At 53.9% G+C, this 20,131-nt stretch overlaps 1 protein-coding gene across 4 annotated transcripts in view, besides 2 other annotated features; it reads right to left on the reverse strand.

Annotated features, from left to right (window-relative positions):
• Positions 2,486 to 2,535: an enhancer, noted in NCBI's record as "active region_10632". NCBI's record gives its function as "activates an Ori minimal core promoter by ATAC-STARR-seq in GM12878 lymphoblastoid cells {active_cell/tissue: GM12878}" and the evidence as "EXISTENCE:reporter gene assay evidence [ECO:0000049][PMID:35858748]".
• Positions 6,047 to 20,131, reverse strand: part of GTF3C1 (general transcription factor IIIC subunit 1) — an 89,301-nt gene continuing 75,216 nt past the window's right edge. For 2 of the 4 annotated variants that reach the window (XM_047434036.1, NM_001286242.2), the window contains 8 exons: positions 17,182 to 17,354; positions 15,542 to 15,829; positions 14,725 to 14,984; positions 10,694 to 10,974; positions 9,829 to 10,270; positions 8,975 to 9,026; positions 7,728 to 7,920; positions 6,047 to 6,996 (listed from right to left, as the gene is read on the reverse strand). In XM_047434036.1, the coding sequence (XP_047289992.1) occupies positions 6,784 to 6,996; positions 7,728 to 7,920; positions 8,975 to 9,026; positions 9,829 to 10,270; positions 10,694 to 10,974; positions 14,725 to 14,984; positions 15,542 to 15,829; positions 17,182 to 17,354 (1,902 nt within the window). In that variant the 3' untranslated portion in view covers positions 6,047 to 6,783. Of the gene's footprint in view, positions 6,997 to 7,727; positions 7,921 to 8,974; positions 9,027 to 9,753; positions 10,271 to 10,693; positions 10,975 to 14,724; positions 14,985 to 15,541; positions 15,830 to 17,181; positions 17,355 to 20,131 lie in introns of all 4 variants that reach the window. The other 2 variants (XM_017023188.3, NM_001520.4) reach the window with 1 other exon arrangement.
• Positions 16,756 to 17,257: an enhancer, noted in NCBI's record as "H3K4me1 hESC enhancer chr16:27482643-27483144 (GRCh37/hg19 assembly coordinates)". NCBI's record gives its function as "activates a minimal SCP1, AML or CMV promoter by ChIP-STARR-seq in primed H9 embryonic stem cells {active_cell/tissue: H9 hESC(primed)}" and the evidence as "EXISTENCE:reporter gene assay evidence [ECO:0000049][PMID:30033119]".

Below are 20,131 nucleotides of genomic sequence, written 5' to 3' on the forward strand. Positions count from 1 at the left end.
GAGAGCCGAGATCACACCACTGTACTCCAGCCTGGGCAACAGAGCCATACTCTGTCTCAAACAAAACAAAACAAAACAAAAACAAACAAACAAACCCACCAGATCTCCCATGAAGTGACTGAGCGAGAACCCACTCATCACCAAGGGGATAGTGCTAAGCTGTTCAGGAGGGTCTGCCCCCATGAATCACCTCCCCGCAGGTCTCACCTCCAACGTTGAGAATCACAGTTCAACATGGGATTTGGAGGGGACAAAGAGCCAAACCATATCACCCCATTCAAAGGGCCCAGAAGACCAGGCTCCAAGGGCAAGTCATTTGCTGTCGCTGCGCCTCAGTTTTCTCTTTTATAAAGTGGAGGTTAGGAATCAGCCTCTTGGCTTGCTCCAGGAATGAAAACAGAGGGTGGAGCAAGCCCTTATTAGATGTCAGTTGTCTTAGTGTTTTTGTTTGTTTTTTGTTTTTGTTGTTTGGTTTTTAGACAGAGTCTGACACTGTCACCCAGGCTGGAGTACAATAGCGTGATCTCTGCTCATTGAAACCTCCGCCTCCCAGGTTCAAGCAATTCTCCTGCTTCAGCCTCCTGAGTAGCTGGGATTATAGGCACGTGCCACCACACTTGGCTAATTTTTGTATTTTTAGTAGAGACGGGGTTTCACCATGTTGGCAAGGCTGGTCTCGTACTCCTGACCTGAAGTGATCTGCCCGCCTCAGCCTCCCAAAGTGCTGGGATTGCAGGCGTGAGCCACCACGCCCGGCCAGAGGTGCGTTGTCTTTCTATCATCACCTTGAGCTAGGCTCCAGGTCAGAGGAGAAGAGGGCTGTGGCCCCAGCCCTTCCCAATCTCCTTCCCAGAGAGTTCATAAATGCTTCCCTCCAGATGCCTTGAAGCTTGCACTGCTTTCTGCTGGGATTCAACGAACACATAACCCCAGCTCTCCAACCATCAACAGTTCCTGCGAGATCTCAGCCTGGGATGCTGTCTGGGGGTCCCAGATGCTCTAACAAGGGAAGGAGACAGAGGGAAGTGAAGGCCCAGAAAAAGGCAGTGATTTGCCTGGAGTCCATCATGCTCTGCCCCATTCCTGAGCTCCTTTTGGTCCCCCCGCTGGAGGTGAAAGCCCCTTCCTCCCTCCTATCTGGGGATGTTGTTTGCCTGAGCCCGGCTGCTGGCCCCATGGTATGGCACAACCCTGCACAGCCCACCCAGTCCCAGGGCACCGGTGGAACCCAAGAAGGGGACTTCCGGTGGAAGATGGAGCAGTGAGCACGTGCACTGCCCCTCCCAGGAGCCCATTCCACTGACAGTAAAGGAAGCAGGCGCTTCCTTTAAACTCTCGACAGGAAAGAAAGCAGGCGCTTCCTTTAAACTCTCGACAGGAAAGAACAAGGAGAGGACTTGTCTGCCATCAGGAAACACCCACGCATTCGTGTAAGATGAGAGGATGGAGTCAAGTCTGCTCGGACGTCACCTTCTCCACTCTGGGTTGGGTCCTTTATTCAAAGTGCAACACCCCACTGCCTGGTTTTGTTTTTTCCATCACACTTATTATACCTTCTCATACATTTGTGTTATTTATCCATCATATTTACTGTCTATCGCCACTACAGCAGGGATCTAATTCTCCGCTGGGTCTCAGAGCCTAGAATAGTGCCTGGTATAGAGCAGGTGCTAAAAAATATTGAATAAGTGAATGAATGAATGAATCAATCAATGGTAGAGCAGTGACTGGCAAAGCAGTATGGAGAGAGGAGGCAACCATCTGCCCCAGACCTAGAAAGGGCACAGAATGAGGTGTGGAGATGAAAACAGGCCGCCTCCTGGGGAGTCTGTAATGAGAGCAAGAGCCCTTCCTTCATTGCTCAGACCATGGGGCAATCATAGGTCTTCCCCCTGTGTCTAAGGGTGACAAATGTGAAGGTTCTTTCAAAAATCGATGGCCCCAGGCCAGGCGTGGTGGCTCATGCCTGTAATCCCAGCACTTTGGGAGGCCGAGGTGGGTGGATCACCTGAGGGCAGGAGTTCGAGACCTGCCTGGCCAACGTGGCAAAACCCCGTCTCTACTAAAAATACAAAAATTAGCTAGGTGTGGTGGTGGGCGCCTGTAATCCCAGCTACTCTGGAGGCTGAGGCAGGAGAATCACTTGAATCCAGGAGCCGGAGGTTGCAGTGAGCCGAGATCGCACCACTACACTCCAGCCTGGGCGACAGAGTGAGACTCTGTCTCAAAGAAAAAAAAAAAATTGATGACCCCAGATAAGAAACCCTTTCATCCTACTCTTTAGGGAGTCTCCCAGCACAATGCTGGCTCCCCCCCCACCCCAAAACAAATCCCATCCCTGGAAGGCGGTGTGATGGGGAGGTCCCTGAGGCTGGCAGACTGGGAATACCAGCAGATCCGCTTTCCAGCCTCCAGCCCTGTGGACATGATTTTACCTCCTGCACCTCAGCTTCCTCATCTATGAAATGAGTATACTGATCAGGCAGACGTCTTAGGGCTATTGTGGGGCCAGAAGTTAATGTGTGTAATGTGCCCAGAACAGTGTCTGGCATCTGGCAGATGCTCAGGAAATCTTGTTGCTAGGATATCATCCATTTTATGGATAAGTCATGCCCTGCCCCAGTCAGTTCTTACTGGCCTCACCCTGGAGCCTGTATGGACCAAGAGCACCTGACATTTGGAAACCAAGGCGAAGTAATGGGAAACAGAGACGCTTGGGTGGCTGCTGCCACCTGCTGGTAAGCACTGCAATATGCAGGTGTCGGCTGAAGGCAGTGCCCGCTCGCTCTGCTGTCCAGGGGGAAAGGGCCACAGAAGTGCATCTGCCTGGCGCTTATAAAGGGGACCCTGGACAATCACCACAGCAGCCCTCTGCGGTAGAGAATACGGGCGATGAGGACAGGGTGAACTGGCAGGGGTTTGCTTAATTCAACAAAGGCTGACTTCTACCCTTTGGGTGGATGGACCTGCGTTGGGCATTGGAGGTAAGGAGGGAGACTCCACGCAGGCACATACATGCACACTCACACACACACATGCCCACACACAAATACATACATACACAGCATGTATGTGCACAGATACACACATTCGCGACTTCAAAACGTTTGTGGAGGCCGGGCGCGGTGGCTCACACCACCAACATGGAGAAACCCCGTCTCTACTAAAAATACAAAATTAGCCGGGCGTCGTTGCGCATGCCTGTAATCCCAGCTACTCGGAATCTGAGGCAGGAGAATCGCTGGAACTCGGGAGACGGAGGTTGCAGTGAGTCCAGATCACGCAATTGCACTCCAGCCTGGGCAACAAGAGCGAAACCCTGTCTCAAAAAAAAAAAAAAGAAAAGAAAAAGAAAAAGAAAAAAAAAAAGTTCATGGAAAATGAATTCAAAGATTAAAAATAAGAAACAAACTGTCTTTCTCAACATAAGTTCCATCAAGGTCAAGACACTTTGGTGGGCGATGAGACCAGCCATTCAGCCCCTCCCTGAAAAACTGAGGGTCCTGGGAATTTTACCATGGCAATGCCATCTTTTTACATTATTAACTGAAGAAAAGTGCCCTTTAAAGTTTTTTTTTTCTTTTTTAGGAAACAAAAAGAAGTCAGAAGGAGCCATATCAGGACTATAAGGTGAGTGCCTAATAATTTGTCATGGAAACGCTTGCAAAATTGCCCTTGTTTGATGAGGAGTGAGCAGGGGCATTGCTGTAGTGGAGAAGGACTCTCTGGTGAAGCTTTCCTGGGTGGTTTTCCACTAAAGCTTTGGCTACTTCCTCAAAACACTCCCATAATAGGCATGCTGATGCAGATGTGCCAGGGGGTCGGTGAGTGAGCCGTGCTGAGGGCGTGTTTTATGTTACAGGCCCGGGCTTCCCAGGGCGTGCACAGACAGATATGGATGGAAATGGGAAGAGGGAAAGTGGGAGGGGCCCTGAAGGAGAGGGGCCCACAGGCTTTAGCCAGATTTGAAATGTTGTATTTAACAGACAATGCATTCATGTATTTGCTTATCTAAGAAAAAGAAAAAAGAATTAAGAGTGAGGAGGGCAAGACTGGGGGGTATATGGAAGCTGGGGACACAAAGCCAAGGTGTCCGGGCCTCGTGCAGGTGCCCATCTGGGCTGTGCATTCCCTGGCCTCTCTGCAGGAGACCAGGAGCCACCACCTAGCACTGTTCTGGCAGCTGCAAAAGGGCCAGAGACCCATTTTTGCCCCTTCGTAGGTTTTGTTTGGTAGTTAGTGCTTAATGTTTCTTTCAAATTTGCATTCCTTCACAGCCTGGGCATACACATTTTAGTTTTCCACAGTTGCTATCACTCCCTAGTATTTAACCCAAGGCCCCTTTCCTCTCATTTGTTACCTGCCTGGCCCCTGAAGGCATCTCAGCTCACAACTACTGGTCAATGCTGTGGCTTCTGGAGATTTCTGTGCAGAGCTTGGAGGGGCAGAGAGCTGTCTTGGAAGGATGGATGGATGGATGGGTAGATGGATGGATGGACAGATGAATGAATGGATGGGTAGGTGGATGAATGGACAGATGGACAAATGAATGGGTGGATGGGTAGGTGGGTGGATGGATGGATGGATGGACAGATGAGTGGATGGATGTGTAGATGAATGCACAGATGAATGGATGGTGGGTGGATGGATGGGCGAATGGATGGATGGATGGATGGATGGATGGATGGGTAGGTGGATAGTTGGGTGGATGGATGTGCAGATGGATGGATGGACAGATGGGTGGGCAGATGAGGGGCTTCATGATGGGTAGGAGGGAGGGGAAGAAGCAACAGATTATCCTTGGGCAGAATGGGGATGTGGACTGGTGTTCACAGAAGCCCCATTTCACCATCTGAGAGCTGTCCCCACCATCCCTATGTCCCATCTCCCAACACATGCCCACACTCTCCATCATCTGGGAGGCACAGGCAAAGAAGGAAACTTGCTGAACCCGACTATGCACTTGCATCCGGTGCTCTTCAGCTCATCTGGCCCTCCCTTGAGGGAGATACTCTTCCCCCAGTTTTCAGACGACAAAACGAAGGCTCTGAAATGTGAATGCAGGGTCAGTTTTTTAGGAAACACTTACTGGATTCCCAAACCTTTCTTCCACCATGCCACACTTTCCCAAATAATTAGTATTTGTACAGTATTTTATTTATGAAGCAGACCACATCCACTATTCTACTTGATTGCCTCAAAAAATCCCATAGAACACTATTGTTTCTACACTTGAATGAAACTTTAAAGGGAAAAAAAATAGACACTAAGACCTGACCAGGCTAGGCAGTGCGGGGACTCACTCTCAGGACTCTGACTCCCAAGTCCCTGCCTTTGTCCCTCCTCATCCAGAAGTGTGGCCCAGAGTGACCAGGGCCCTGGTCCCTCGTAGAGGGAGGATGGAGACATAGGTTGGAAGGTGGGTCAGGTCAGGGGTACATGTTCCCCAGAGGGGACACTTTTCTAGGTGAGAGAAGCTGCAGGTGGGTGTGAGACACAGCTGGCCAGGTCGGGGCACATCCCACCTAGAGGGAGTGGCCTCTGCTTAGCACTTCTGACTGCCACAGGCAGGAAGCTAAGCCCATTGTTACTGGAACTTTCCATTTTAAGAGAAGACAGAAATCTGAATTTTTTTTAAAAAAATGTGAACTCTACATTTTAAAAATGTTGGCAACTAACTTAAAAAAATGTAACAATGTGAGCTCAAGAGAACTTCAAGGGGCCAGACCCATCCCGCAGGCCCTGCCAACACCAGCTGTGCTGAGCTGAGCTGATCGTGGGCCTGGCACTGGGCTGGGAGCTGCTCTGTGGGGGACAGGCCTGGGACCAGCTGAGAAGGTGGTGAGGGAGCTGCCTGTGCCCCTCTCCATCCTGGAGGCCATCTCTCACCTGCTGGCTGAGGCTGGGCGGGGCTGCCGAGCTTAGGATCAGGGCCTTCCCTCTTCCTTTGGTTTCAATGGGAACAGCCATTCCAGGTTGTTCTGCAGCCAAAGCAGGGAGTCCCCTAGGGGAATCACTGATTCTTTAGGAAACACACAAAACAGAATGCATTTTACTTCCCTTTAATCAAAAAATAAATAAGTACACTCCACAGGGACTTTTTTTTTTTAATGAGGAAAAAAGGTGAAAGAACAAAATAAAACAAACAAAACCAAAACCTACAGGGACTCTTCATTTCTGGCCTGCAAGGAATCACCAGCCAGGCTGAGGGACACGGACAGCCAGCCCAGCTGGGGCCTGCCAGGTGACTCACAAGGCTGAAAAGGGAGCCGCTCCGCTCTGGGTGGTTCAGTCCCAGCCAGGGGTTGGGATGTCCTGCCTGCGGAGGGGCCACAGCCCCCATGGGGGGCCCCTCGCAGCGGGGCACACCGATCCCTATTCTGCAAGGTGTATCCCACAAGGCCCTTCCTCTTGGTGGCACCTGGGCACTCAAGGAGCCAGGAGATCCTGCCGAGATGGCTAGAGTCTGGAATGTGAGGTGTGCACAGGCGGGGCAAACTCTGGAGACCCAGAGACAAGAAGCACCAACTCCCAGTGTGATGAGGCCAGTTCCCAAGGGGAAGGCCCAGAAGAGCCTGGGGGATGGGCAGGTCGGGGAGCCCCTCTTTCCAGAGTTCCAGTACAGTGGGAAACGTGTCAGTCTGTGACTCTGGCCAAAGCACCCGTCCCCTGCTGCAGGAGGCTCGGCAGACCCAAGGCCAGGGCACAGTGGGGTCTGCCGAGCACCAGGCAGGAGTGGTGTGGCAGGCGGTGGCTGGGAGGGAGGGGACGCCCACAGGGGTCCTAGAGGTGGATCCACTTGTTCCAGTTGACCTCGTGGGGGAACACACGGCCCAGCCGGAGGGTACAGTCCAAGGTGGGCTCATAGAAAGCCATGGGGCTCTCGTCCAGGCTGGAGGGCACTTCCACCTCTTCCACCACGGGTGTAGAGAAGAGCGAGACAGGCCTTGGCTTTCTCAGCCAGCGCTTCCGGATGCAGCCGAGGGACTCCAGGCCCTGGAGACACCAGACACACAGGTTACAGCGGCACTGCCCTCGCCTGCTTGTTGATTTATTCTTCAAGCATTTATGGAATGCCCCCTCTGTACCAGGGAGCCACTTCCCAGAGCAGGGGGCACCTGAACTGGGCATGAGGCAGATGGGGATGTACCAGGAGGGTTCAGGCAAAGGCCCTGGTGGGAGAGGCAGCTGCCTGAGCAGCACGTGTACAGCGCTGGCTGGAGCCACCACGCTGAATCTCATTTGTGGAGGAGAGGCCTGCAGCGCGGGATAAATCCCAGCTTCCTGTGAGCCAAGACTGGCTTCCAGGTGGGGTTTTGTTTGGCTCATGGGGAATTTGACACTCAACTTCAAGCTCCTAGCTGCCAGAGGAGCTGGAGGCCCCAGGCACACATGGGAGTCAGCCAAGCAGGAAGCAGCTGCACCAGGGGGCAGCTGCTTGACCCGTGGGGCCCGGCGGACTCATGAGTTAGTGACCCCTGGCACAGAGAAAGCATCAGAGACAAGCACCCCGGGCACCCCATCTTCCAGCCTGGTCAGCAGCATGGAGCTGGTGAAGGACACTGAGGGACAGCCTGAGAGGCAGGAGCCCAGGACAAGCTGGGGGAGGAGGTGCAGGCAAGCAGTATGGTGGTACTGCATGTTGCCTGGGGCCTGAACATCACAGCCGGGCCACTGAGTGCACCCAGCCGCCTCCACACCCTGCTGAACCCAGGAAGGCCCCACACCTGGAGCAACTCCAGCACGGCGACGGGCTGCAGGACCCCCTGGTAGTGGCGCAGCAGGGAGCTCTCGGGGATGCCAGGCCTGGTCATGATGTGGTACAGCATGGCCTCCATCATACCCTTGCATACAGGAAGGTTCAGGTGGCCATCCACGACACGCCACGGCCGGCCGATGAAGCAGACACTCTCACAGTCCCTGCAGGGAGAGGGCTTGACATCAGGGCTTGGTGGGGGCAGGAGGGCAGCTCGTCCAGACAGAACACTGAGGCTCAGGGGCGTCCTAGGCCTGGCCCAGGTCACAGGGCTGAGACCAGCCACCTCTTGCTCTCTGCTTTCCAAACTCCCTGCTTCTCTCCTGTCTGGACAGAGGGGCCCTTGACCGCCAGCTGGGTGGAACCAGGACGTGGTGTCCGCTCTGATGTAGCTGTAACTGAGGCCTCAGTGGGCCCACCCACATTGGCAGGAGAGGGACAAGGGTTGTGACTCCTGGACTTGCCAGCTCTACTGGCAGCCCAGGCAGAAACCACCTCCAGGCTGTGGCAAAACTCACGGGAGCGTGACCCTGAAGCTCTGCTCCACGCCATGTGCAGAGTTCCAGGCACACTTTCCTCGAAACAGACGTTTCTGTTACTAAACCAGAGACTGAACAGCCACCCGGGGCCCACGAGTGGGGCGGACCCAGAAGAGCTGGACACCAGGCTCTCATCGCTATGGCTGGGCCTTGGAGGGGGCACACCTGAGCTCTTGAAAGCCAGGACACAGGGCACTTGGGCCCTGCCAATCTGGGGTCAGCACACACACTCATGGGAGGCGCCCCCACCAGAGGGGCTTCTGCGGCCCCCTTGCTTCCTGTAACTCTGTGGCATGGTTGTCCCGGGGGCAGCTGGGCATTCAGGGCTTATCCCTCTGTGGACCCCTGGCTCATCTGCAGGAGTGGGTGAGGTGCCTGTGGGCCATGAGGAGCCAGTGAAGCACAGCTGACAGCACCAGGCATGGTTCTCCACCAGCGCCCTGGGCATTCTGGAAGCGCAGCCCTCATTCCAGGCCGACCTGGGCACTGCCAGTGCTCAGCACGCCTGCTGCTCGCCCACTGCGCCCCTCCAAGTACCCCTGCCAAGAACCAAGGTGCCGGGCAGGCTGTCAGAGCTGGTACCTGGGGAAAGACCCTCAAAGACCCTCACACAAATCCTTACACTCGGTCCCTGTCAAGAGCCCCGCCCCAGGCCCCGGAGCCAGAACCCCACACCCACCTTTCCCGTGCTGCCTGGGAGATGTTGGCAGCTCCGAAACTCTCTGTGAACCCTGAGGGAAGAGGAAGAGAATGTGAGAGACTCGGAAAGTCAGGGAAGCCATCTCTGCCCTCCAACCTTCAGCATGGTACCTAGCATGAGCAGGGCACCTCGAGGCTCAGGGGATGAAGTGTCAAAAAAAAAGGACAATGAGCATCTCACAGAGCGGCCACCCTGGAGGTGGCAGGGCCGGGCAGACTGCCGCACACAGCGCCACATGCAAGCAGCGTCCCAGGCCCGGACAAGCCCCACATTGCAGGAAGCCAGCGAACACCTCATTTTCCACCCAGAAGCCCCGACCACAAGGGTGGTATAAAACCCGAGGCAAAAACACCCCAAAGAAAACAAAAACGCCCAGAGAAGCCACATGAGAAGGCCGCTGCTGATGACAGACGTGCAGGAAAGGAAAGGGCGTGCTGCCACCCGAGGAAGTTGAGACCCCCATGCCATCACTGCCCCACAGCAGCCGCTGCAGTGCACACGCTGGCCCCACCGCCTGAGCTCCTGCTCTGGAACTCACAGTGCTGCCTGGGGATGTGGGAGGCCTGCCCTCCCCTGGAAATGCATTTACAGGCAGTATCCTCCCCCTCAGGGCTCAGGCTCTGAGAAGCTGAAGTCAAGCCCCTTTTGTGCCAGTGGCAGGTCCCCCATCCTCGGAGGAAGGTGTGAGGCCCATCAGGGCGGAGGGGAGGGAAAGCCAGGGTGGGGTGAGGTGGGGTGGGGGACAAGGCGCGCGGTACCTCTGGGGTCTTCAGAGCCCTCTGGAGGCTGCGCCTGGCCGCTCAGCTGCTCTTGGCCTGGGGAACTGAACTCACCGACACCCTCTTGGTCTTCCTGTGCTGCTCCCGCTGCAGCGGTGTCTTCAAGAGCTGGGGGTGGAGATGGGGCCTGGGCTTCTGCCCCATCTTCAGCTCCGGGCCCAAGGCTGGGGGCCAAATTTGAGTCCTGGAGCGCTGGCCTCTTGGCAGGGGTCATCTGGGTGCCCTCGGCGTCGGTCTCCCCATTCTCACTGGCCCAGCTGGCGCGCCTCTTGGTGCCCCGGGGGCTGTGAGAAGGAGGTGCCTGCCCCTCGGGGGGGCTGTCCTCACTGGAAGACCCCTCCAGGGGTCTGGCCTGGGGGTCTTCTCTCTGGATGTCGGCGTCTTCTCTGTCTTTCAGCCGCACGGAGTGCAGGAGCCAAGGCCAGGCAGAGCCCATGGCTACCAGGCGCGCAGTGTTGCCACCGACCTCCAGCACCTGATGCTGCTCCAGGAGGGCCTGGGGAGGCAGGAGACACGCGGGGTCTGTGGGGAGCTCGGGATCCTCCACGCTGGTGACGGGGGACGAGTGGAGTGGCCTCCCCTGACTGGCGGGTTGAGTGCCCTGAGCAGCCCAGGCCCACGAGGCAGGCCTGGCTCCTAGCCCCGGGGCTGCCCCTTGCTAGCCCTGTGCCCTGGAGCAGCATCTCTTTCTCTCTGGCTGCTCGTGAACCACGTCAGCCGTGTGACCTTTGGGGATCCACAACTGTACCCTCAAAGCGGATGTGAAATGCCCCAGTTTTCAAGTGTTAATGACTAATTCAACGTTTAAAAAGAACGCAGCATGCTATGCCCCAAATCAAGCCCATCCTCAGTGTGCACCTGGCCTGGGAGCTGCAATTTCCGCTTCGGTGATATCCGGCTAACCTAAAGCACAGCTCACCTGGATGCAATCTGCGAATGTCCTGGTGCGCCCACCACCTGCCTTCTCCAAGGCCGAGAACCGTCTGCGCAGCTCCTCCTTGTCAATCCCAAAACAACCCGTGGCTATAATGGCTTCCAAGATCTCCAAGGCAGCAGTCAGGTCTTCGGGACTATACCCAGACAGCTCCAGCTGGAGGACAAACTCCTCCAAGCTGCAGGTGTTTTCCTGGGGGTTTATCAGCTTGGTGAACGTATCAGGGAGGCAGGAGGTTCCCATTGTTAGCTCTTCCAGAGGAGCGGCTGTGGGGACACAGAGGAAGATCAGAGGCAGCCCGACAGAGGCCCCCCTCCCCTGACCAATGCACAGGCCACACCCAGGAAAGGCATGCTCCAGCACCAACTCACTGCTTCCCCGACAGCCACAGGGGTCACCTGCTGGGTGGACACACTGGGCCCCTGGCAGTCAGGCTCCTGATCCGTGACCCTAGGCCTCTGACTACAGCTGACTGGGACACAACAGCTGACTGGATTTCTCTTGGCCACTGTGATTCTCCTGCTCAAGATGTAAAGTGAAGGGCACAGAGGCCGAGGACTGAGGTTCGAGAACTGTAAAGTCCAGTGCTCTGACGGGGAGTCCCTGACCAGGGCTGGCCTGGTCCCATCCCTTCCTGCTGCTCATGTACCCACTGTTCCTTAGACCCTGTGAGATACTCCAGGCCCCTTCTACACACCCTACTTTTGCCTACACTAGCCAGGGCTGGCTACTGTTGCTTCCTATAGAATATGTCTCTGCTAAAGCCATAATTGATAGGTTATCACTACATTTTTGCCCAGTCCAAACTCCAAAGTATAGAATTCTAACTGTGGTTATGAAATGTACAGTGAACACCATCAACTTCAACAGCGCACCTCACTTCACTGTGCTTCACGGATATTGTGTTCTTGGGTTTTTTACATACTGAAGGCTTGCGGCAAGTCTGCATCAAGAGAGTCTACGGGCACCACTTTCACAACACCGTGTGCTCGATTTGTGTCTGTCACGCTTGGGAATTCTCAGAATATTTCAACTTTTTCATGATTATCATATCTGTGATGGTGACCTGTGATCAGTGATCTTTGCCCTTACTATTGTAATTGTTTTGGGGCACCACAAACCATGCCCACATAAGACAGCAAACTTAATTAATAAGTATCATGTGTGTTCTGGCAACTCCAGGGACCAGCCATTCCCCATTTTCTTCCCTCTCCTGGGGCTCCCTATTCCTGAAACACAACAATATTGAAGTCAGGCCAGTCAATAACCTTACAGTGACCCCTCTGCATTCAAGTGAAAGGAAGAGTTGGACATCTCTCACTTTACATCAAAAGCTAGAAAATATCAGGCTCTGTGAAGAAAGCATGGTGACAGCCAATATAGATGAAAACTGGGCCTCTTGTGCCAAAGTTAGTCAAAGTTGTGAAGGCAAAGGAAAAGTTCTTGAAGGAAATTAAAAGTGCTACTCCAGGGAACACACAAACAATAATAAAGCAAAAACAGCCTTGTTGCTGACATGGAGAAAGTTTCAGCAGTCTGGATAGATCAAACCAGCCACAACCTTCCCTTAAGCCAAAGCCTAATCCAGAGAAAGGCCCTAACTCTCTTCAATTCTATGAAGGCTGAGAAAGGTGAGGAAGATGCAGAAGAAAACTTGGAAGCTAGCAGAGGTTGGTTTATGAAGTTTAAGGAAAGAAGCCGTCTCCGTAACATAAAAGTAAAAGGTGAAGCACCAAGTGCTGATGGAGAAGCTGCAGCAAGTTCTCTAGAAGCTCTAGCTGAGATCAGTAATGAAGGTGGATACACTAAACAGATTTTCAATGTGCACAAAACAGCTTTATGTTGGAAGATGCCATCTAGGACTTTCATGGCTACAAAGGAAAAGGCAAGGCCTGGTTTCAAGGCTTCAAACGACAGGCCACTCTCGATAGGAAGTAATGCAGCTGGTGACTTTAAGTTGAAGCCAGTGGTCATTTCCCATCCCCAAATTCTTAGGGCCCTTAAGAATTACGCTAAATCTATTCTGCCTGTGCTCTATAAACAGAACAGCAAAGCTGGATGACAGCACATCTGTTTACAATGTGGCTTACTGAATATTTTAAGCCCACTGTAGAGACCTACTGCTCAGACTAAAAAGATTCCTTTCAATGGTATGCTGATTCATGATGCCCCTGGTCACCCATGAGCTCTGATGGAGATGTTCAAGGAGATGAATGTTGTTTTCATGCCTGCTAACACAACATCCATTCTGTACCCCATGGATCAAGGAGTCACTTCACTTTCAAGTCTTATTATTTAAGAAATACATTTGATGGCCGGACACAGTGGCTCACGCCTGTAATCCCAGCACTTTGGGAGGCTACGGTGGGTGGATCACCTGAGGGCAGGAGTTCAAGACCAGCCTGCCCAACATGGTAAAACACCATCTCTACTAAAAATACAAAAATTAGCCGGGTGTGTTGGTGGGCACCTGTAATTCCAGCTACTCGGGAGGCTGAGCTAGGAGAATCACTTGAACCTGGGAGGTGGAGGTTGCAGTGAACTGAGATCATGCCGCCGCACTCCAGTCCGGGCGACAAGAGTGAAACTCTGTCTCAAAGAAAAAAAAGAAAGAAATACATTTCGTAAAGCTATAGCTATTATAGTGATTCCTCTGATGGATCTGGACAAAGGAAACTGAAAACCTTCTGGAAAGGAGCCACCATTCTAGATGCCATTAAGAACATCTGTGATTCATGGGAGGTGGTCAAAATACCAGCATCAACAGGAGTTTGGAAGAAATTTATTCCCACTCTCATGGATGACTTTGAGGGGTTCAAGTCTTCAGCGGAGAAAGTAACTGCAGATGCCTTGGAAATAACAAGAGAACTAGAGGTAGAGTCTGAAGATGGGATGGAACTGCTGCAATCTCAGGATCAAACTTGAACAGATGGGGACTTGCTTCTTATAGATGAGCAAAGAAGGTGGTTTCTTGAGTTTCTTGACATAGAATCTACTCCTGGTAAAGACGCTGAGAACATCATTGAAATGGCAACAAAGGATTTAGAATATTACATAAACTAGGTCTGGCATGGTAGCTCATGCCTGTTGTCCCAGCACTTTGGGAGGCCATGGCGGGAGAATCCCTTGAGGCCTGAGACCAGCCTGGGCAACAGAGGAAGGCCCCGTCTCTACAAAAAATTAAAAAATTAGCTGGCTGTGGTGGCACATGCCTATAGTCCAAGCTACTTAGGAGACTGAGACAGGAGGATGACCTGAGCCCAAGAGCTAGAGATGACAGTGAGCTATCATCGTGCCACTGCACTCCAGCCTGAGCAACTGAGCAAGACCCTAAAAAATAGGCTTGGTGTGGTGGTTCATGCCTGTAATCCCATCACTTTGGGAGGCGGAGGTGGGAAAATCACTTAAGGCCAGGAGTTTGAAACCAGCCTGGGCAACATAGCGAGTCCCCGTCTCAATCATTTCAAATAAATAAATAAAAATAAAAAGTAAAGTTTCAAAGGTCATCAACAGAACTAAAATAGTGTCAAAATTGGAAGTAAAGGAGGCAGGAGATCATGAATGTGAGCGGAATACTTATCTTTCCTAGCAAGGGGTCAAAAGATAATACCTAAAAGTTTCCTAAGAGCACACACTTTAGAGTTGCAGAGCTAAGCACCAGGAGACTAGAGCCCGGGCAGTGACAGGGCCGCCCGTGGAGAGTGGGCGGGGTGGGGAAGCGGAAGTGCTCTGCTCTTCCTTGTGAGCCCACCTGAGTGACTGCTGGTGCCTGCAGCACAGCTGTGACTAAAAGAGGCGGTGCGGGGAGCTTTCCCACAGAGGTGTGGGCACAGCACAGGCACCTGGGGAAGGCATCCCTTGAGTTGGCTGCAAGGATGGGGTGTGTTTTTCTGTGTGTTCTGTGGCTGCACGCCTGGCCTGGGGAGCCTGAAGGTCTAGGTCCCAGGCCAGGCCTCAGGGTCTTCCTGGATGATGGCGAGGCCAGGCCCTCCCACAGCACCAGCAGGAGCACTCACCAGCGGGCCTGAGCCGGGCGGGCACAGGGGTGCAGCGGAGCTGGAACTTCATCTGGCAGGAGTTGACCACAATGCTGTCGTTGGGGTTGAGGTTGCGGGTGCTGACGATGCCGGGGGAGTAGTAGCCCCTCATCAGCAGGTAGTTGGTGTGGGAGGCTTGCGCAGGTTTCACCTCCATGCTCCGGCGCTTGCCCCCTACACCTTCGTCCAAGTCATCCTCTTCATCCTCGTCATCCTCCAGGCTGCCGTCCTTCCCCAAGCTAGAAGGGAATTGTGACCTGGATACCTGAGCATAGGCCAGCCAGTTGCTACTGCAGCCTCTCCCCTCCCTCAAGAGGCCTCTGTGGCTGGGCTTCAGCAGTGGCCCCAGCAACTGGCTATGCTTCATTACCAAGGCTGGTGTGGATGGCTGCCCCAGATCCATCCCCTTTCCCACCTTCCCGTGCACCGCGCTCACCCCTTGTCACATAGCTGTATCTCTGTGGGGACTGTTCCTTTTGCCCGTCTCTCAGCCCAGAAAACACCCATTTCCCCAGGAAGCCCCAGTTCTGTTGCGAGGCCCTCAGGAACAGTCCTCCCTTCTCTTCCCTGCCCCTCCCCTGCCCCGCTGTGCTGCGTCCTTCTCTTTGGCTGATTCCCATAACACCTGGGAGGCACCAGCAGAGGACACCTTAGACACCGGCCTATAATCCCCAGTCACTCATCTGCAACTCCCATCCCACAAGCTCCCAGAAGGCACTGCTGACCCCTGCCCGTCTGTATCTGGCCAATGCCTAGCACGTGGCCAGACCTGATGCTGCGGATGCCGGACTCTTACCTTTTGATGACCTCATTCTCCACCATTGAGCTGTCTACCACGATGATCTGCTCCGGGATCCTGACATCCACAGAAATGAGGCCCAGAGAGAAGAGGGTCAGGACGGCCACACAATTTCCTCCAGGGCCGTCCAGTGAAAAGGCCACCATGTCGTTTGTGGGCTCGTTATTATCCTGGTCTTTGAAAGAGAAACGATCAGGCTGGTCCAACTTGCCGGCAGCCCGCATTCTGTCCAAAAACTGGAATGACTCCGTGCAGATGGTGCTTGGAAATCGCCACGTAAAAATCCTACAGACAAAAAGAAAGGAAGGGCCTGACTGAGGGCCAGCTGTGGGAAGCCTTCATTTGGATGGACTATGAGCACGTCAAACCATTATGGTGAGAACTAAGCAAAACGCCCCACTTCTTCCCTAAAGCTCTCTGTCCCATCCCAGATGAAGGTGCTGCATTCCCACCTAGCGGTGTTTGTGTCTCTCTTCCCCGCTTGCCTGAGTACCTTCCGGGCAGAGTCCTGTCTCCTCATCTAATTCAATGTGGCCTCACCTGGCGCTCCAGGAGGGCGCTGGCAGGCTCACCTTACAGGGGCTCACTGTACACAGCTGCTGAACTAGGGATGGTGAACACGCTTTCTGTAATAATAGTCTCCGCACAAAGCCAGCCCTGGTCTTACACATGTGCCCAAGCTGTCTCCACGCAGTGCCTGGTGAGTCACTTCCCCGGCTCTGTCCAGAGAGCAACATTCCATGACCCTGCTACCAGGGTCAGAGGGAGGGACCAAAAAGGCCTTCCTTGTCTGTGACCACTGCCCTCGGTTCAGATGGGGACATGCGGTCAGAGCAGTGTCTCCGTGACAAATGGCCTTGTTGGATTTGGGCACGTATCTTCTGCTGCCACACCTACTTCCCAGAGGCCTGAGGGTCATTCGGGGTCAGGGTCTGGGGAGGAGGAAGTGTCTGCCGTCGTGGGGAAGGGATGGGATCAAAGAACCAAAAGAAGATTCATGGTGCTGTCTCTGAGCATCTGACTGCAGCCCCGTGCAGACCTGAGTGCGGGGAAGGAGAATGGTGTGAAGGGGAAGCCGTCAAGACGGCAGCTTAGGAATGTTCTCAGGGACTCTCTGCGTGTGGTCAGGAGGCTGGTGGTGCAACGCCCTCTGCGGCATGAAGCCACACTGCAAGAGCGCTTCAGGAGGGAGCCCCAGGAGGATGCCTGTCTGAATGCACCTCCGCACCCCAATCCTGCACTGGCTGTTGGTGCTGCGAATGGGCCCAGGAGGCTTCCCAGGTCTCAGGGCTACGCGGAAGAGGGACTGAGGCTATGCTGGAACAGGAGGGTGGACTTCCAGCCAGGCCAATTATTAAATGCAAACTGATTTCACTCCATCTGACGAGAGAAACGGAAACAAACCACCTGCAAAATGGTAACGCCGCCAACACAAAGAAGCTGCCAGCGCTCACCTGATCCCCATACCACGAAGGAGGTAAGGGGCTGCAGGAAACCCAAGCCGGCATCTTGCACATGAGGCTGCGAAGGTCCCTGGCTCCTACACGCTTTCATGGCCACAGTGCTTCCTTTGCTCCTCTTTACAGACAGGGCGTGGCTCCACCTCGGAGTACCCAAGGCTCCTGACAGGTACTCACCTGTAGTAGGTCTGGGATAGCTGGTAGGACATTGGCACGAAGGGGAGGGCCCGGTTCTTCTTGGGGCCCAGCGTGTGGTTGACCCGGCGCCGGTTGACCAAGCTCCTCTTCTGGCACTCCATGAAGGCCTTCACAAGAACGTGGTCCTTGTACTCCCGATAGAGGCGGAAAGTCTGCAACACAGGGCGGCGAGGGTGAGTAGGGTTCTCCAGCCGGCCACGGAGAGGGCTGGGGTATGTGGAGGCAGAGGCTGCGGCTGATGCTTTATAGAGGAAGTGACCGATCGTGGGAGGCCCAGGCTGGCGTATGTGTGTGTCAGTGAGTGTGTGTGTGAGTGTGTGTATCAGGGGGAGGGGTGCTGAGGAAGTCAGCAATCCCAATTCTCGGACCACCACGTCACACTTCCAGAGACCACAAAGGACAGGGAACTGACGAGACAGGGGGGCTATTCACTCCCAAGCCGATTTCTTTTGGATGCAGACAGAGGGAATCAACACAGAATCATCTCGTCTACCACTCTGTCCCTTGGCCTCCCACCCAGCCAAAAGCACGTCAGGTGGGCTCTACCTTCCAATGCATCGGGTTCGTGCCACCTGCACTGGCCCATCTAGTCTATGCCACTGTTCTTTCTCACCATGGTCCCCAGCTGACTGGTCTCCCTCCTTCCCCATGTCACTTTCCCCAATCCCTGACCATTCTCCACAGCAGCCAGAGTAATCCTTCCATGCCTAAATCAGACCACACATTCCTGCCCTGCCTCAAAACCCCCAAGGACTTCCCTCTGCAGATGTGACCACAACCAGTCCTTCACGACAAGGAGCCTGATAAGTGGGACCCTGCCCGCCCAGCCACCACTCTGGCCTCACGTCCCCCAACACCACCCCTCGCTCACTGCCCTCCAGCCTCCTGGACCTTCTTACATTTCTTGAAAAAGCTGAGGCATCCTGCCTTGGGGCCTTTGCCCTGCCGCTCCCCTAAATCTTTGCCTGGCTGATTCCTCAACATTCAGGGCTCAGCCCAAATATTTCCCCTCAAATAACAAATCCCTCTCCATTCTCCTCCTCTGAGGTCAATTGCCTTATATTATCCTGTTTTATTTTCTCCATAGCAGCCACCTGAAACAATCTCATTTGCTTACTCATTGTTTGGAAGTCCCAGGAGAACACAGATTCAACTCCTTTTTTTTTGAGCCAGGGTCTCACTCTGTTGCCCAGGCTGGAGTACAGTGACACCAACATAGCTCACTGCAGCCTCGACCTCCTGGCTCAAGCGGTCCTCCTGCTTCAGCCTCCTGGGTAGCCGGGACTACAGGCACTATGCCTGGTTAATTTTTGTATTTTTTGTAGAGATGGGTTTTTCACCATGTTGCCCAGGCTGGTCTCAAACTCCTGGCCTCATCCTGCCTCAGCCTCCCAAAGTGCTGGGATTACAGGCGTAAGCCACCATGCCTGGCCTAGATTCAACTCTTGCTGTTGCCACCCCAGTGCCTAGGCGGAAGGAAGTACCTCTGCTGGACATGCCATGGTGACTTCATGGCTCAGCCTGCTAAGTCTCATGGACCTGGGCCCCGCCTAGTGAACAAGCAGCTCAAAGGACTGTGCAGTCAGCAGAGTCTCTGTTACTCCAAGCTTCTGCAAAGGGCAAGCAACCAGCAGTTCCTGAGTATCTAGCATTTGCCATCCTCTGAGAGAGCTCCTATAGGACTGTCTCCTCAAAAGCACTGGCCAAGAAAAATCCCTGTCATGGTCTAAGGATTTTAGGTGCTGCCCCCAGGACCTTCAGTGACAGAGGAGGCTGAGGCACATGGACTTTAAGTGATCCTCTGAGGTCACACTGTCAGGCAGGGGTGGGTCAGAGGAGAGAAGAGCAACCTCACCACTGCACCTTCCTTCCAGTGGAGGGACACAAGGGGACCGGGGACCGGTGCGGTGGTCAGCTGGGGCTCTGGGGCAGCACCCAGGTGTTCCCTGGAGCGTATCTGAATGAAGCCTGTGCAACTTGCTTCCTCTAGACAGCACCTGTGCGCCAGTCCTGGGCATGCAGACCATCAGACCTTATGGGGGAACACTCTCCATGTGGTGGGCGGGAGAAGCTGGGAGTGGCCATTACACCATCATCCTTCCCTAGAGCACTGGAGGGAAGCTGCATCTCACTCCTTGTGACAAGCCTTCTGTGACTTTGCTCTTCTCTTCCATTTGAATATAACTAGCGAATGGGTGTATTCCCACATAACAGGATAGGAGCGCTCAGGCCATGTGTGGTGAGTTGGGGGGTATCGTCCACCCACTCACATTTCCAAGAGGCTGGGCTGTCACAGGCACAGTGAGCCCACCTGCAGCCTTCCACTGGCTTCCCGGAACCTTGAGGGGAGCCTCGCGGGGTCCCCTATGGGGCTCTGACATTGCTGTTGGCCTTCCAGTCCTCACTCAAGAGTCACTAAAGAAGTGTCCTGTTTCCTGCTCGGGGAGGGAGGCTACGCAGGCCGGTGGTCTTTCTAAGGTGACTTTCCATGCCCCTGGGGGTTAAGGCAGAGTGACTAGGCCTTCGGTACCACACATCAGAGCCCAGGTGCCACCTGGAGATGGAACTGGAACTGGAGGAGGAAAAAGCCGTGGGAATAATACTGGGGATGGGCCTGGCTAGAAGGCAGGGGGCCCAGCTTTTGCCGTTGGGGCTGGGCTTTCTTGTTTGGAGGTGGGGTACAGTGGGAAGGATCCCCAAAGTCCCCTCCAGCTCTGAGCCACTAATCAGCAGGATAGCTGGAAGGCCCACCCCACAGCCAGAAGTCGGAAATTTGGACTCCTGTGTGCAATGTTGGAAAAAACATTTTTTGAAAAAAAAATTTTGTTTTTTCCTTTTAAACAAGCGTGAGACCAATAAAATACGGTCTGTGGACTGTTTATTTGGAACTTCACCCAATACTATTTATTCTTTTCTCTGCAAGTTCAGG

Source organism: Homo sapiens, chromosome 16, assembly GCF_000001405.40.
Source record: "Homo sapiens chromosome 16, GRCh38.p14 Primary Assembly".
In the NCBI taxonomy this organism is placed as follows: domain Eukaryota; kingdom Metazoa; phylum Chordata; class Mammalia; order Primates; family Hominidae; genus Homo; species Homo sapiens.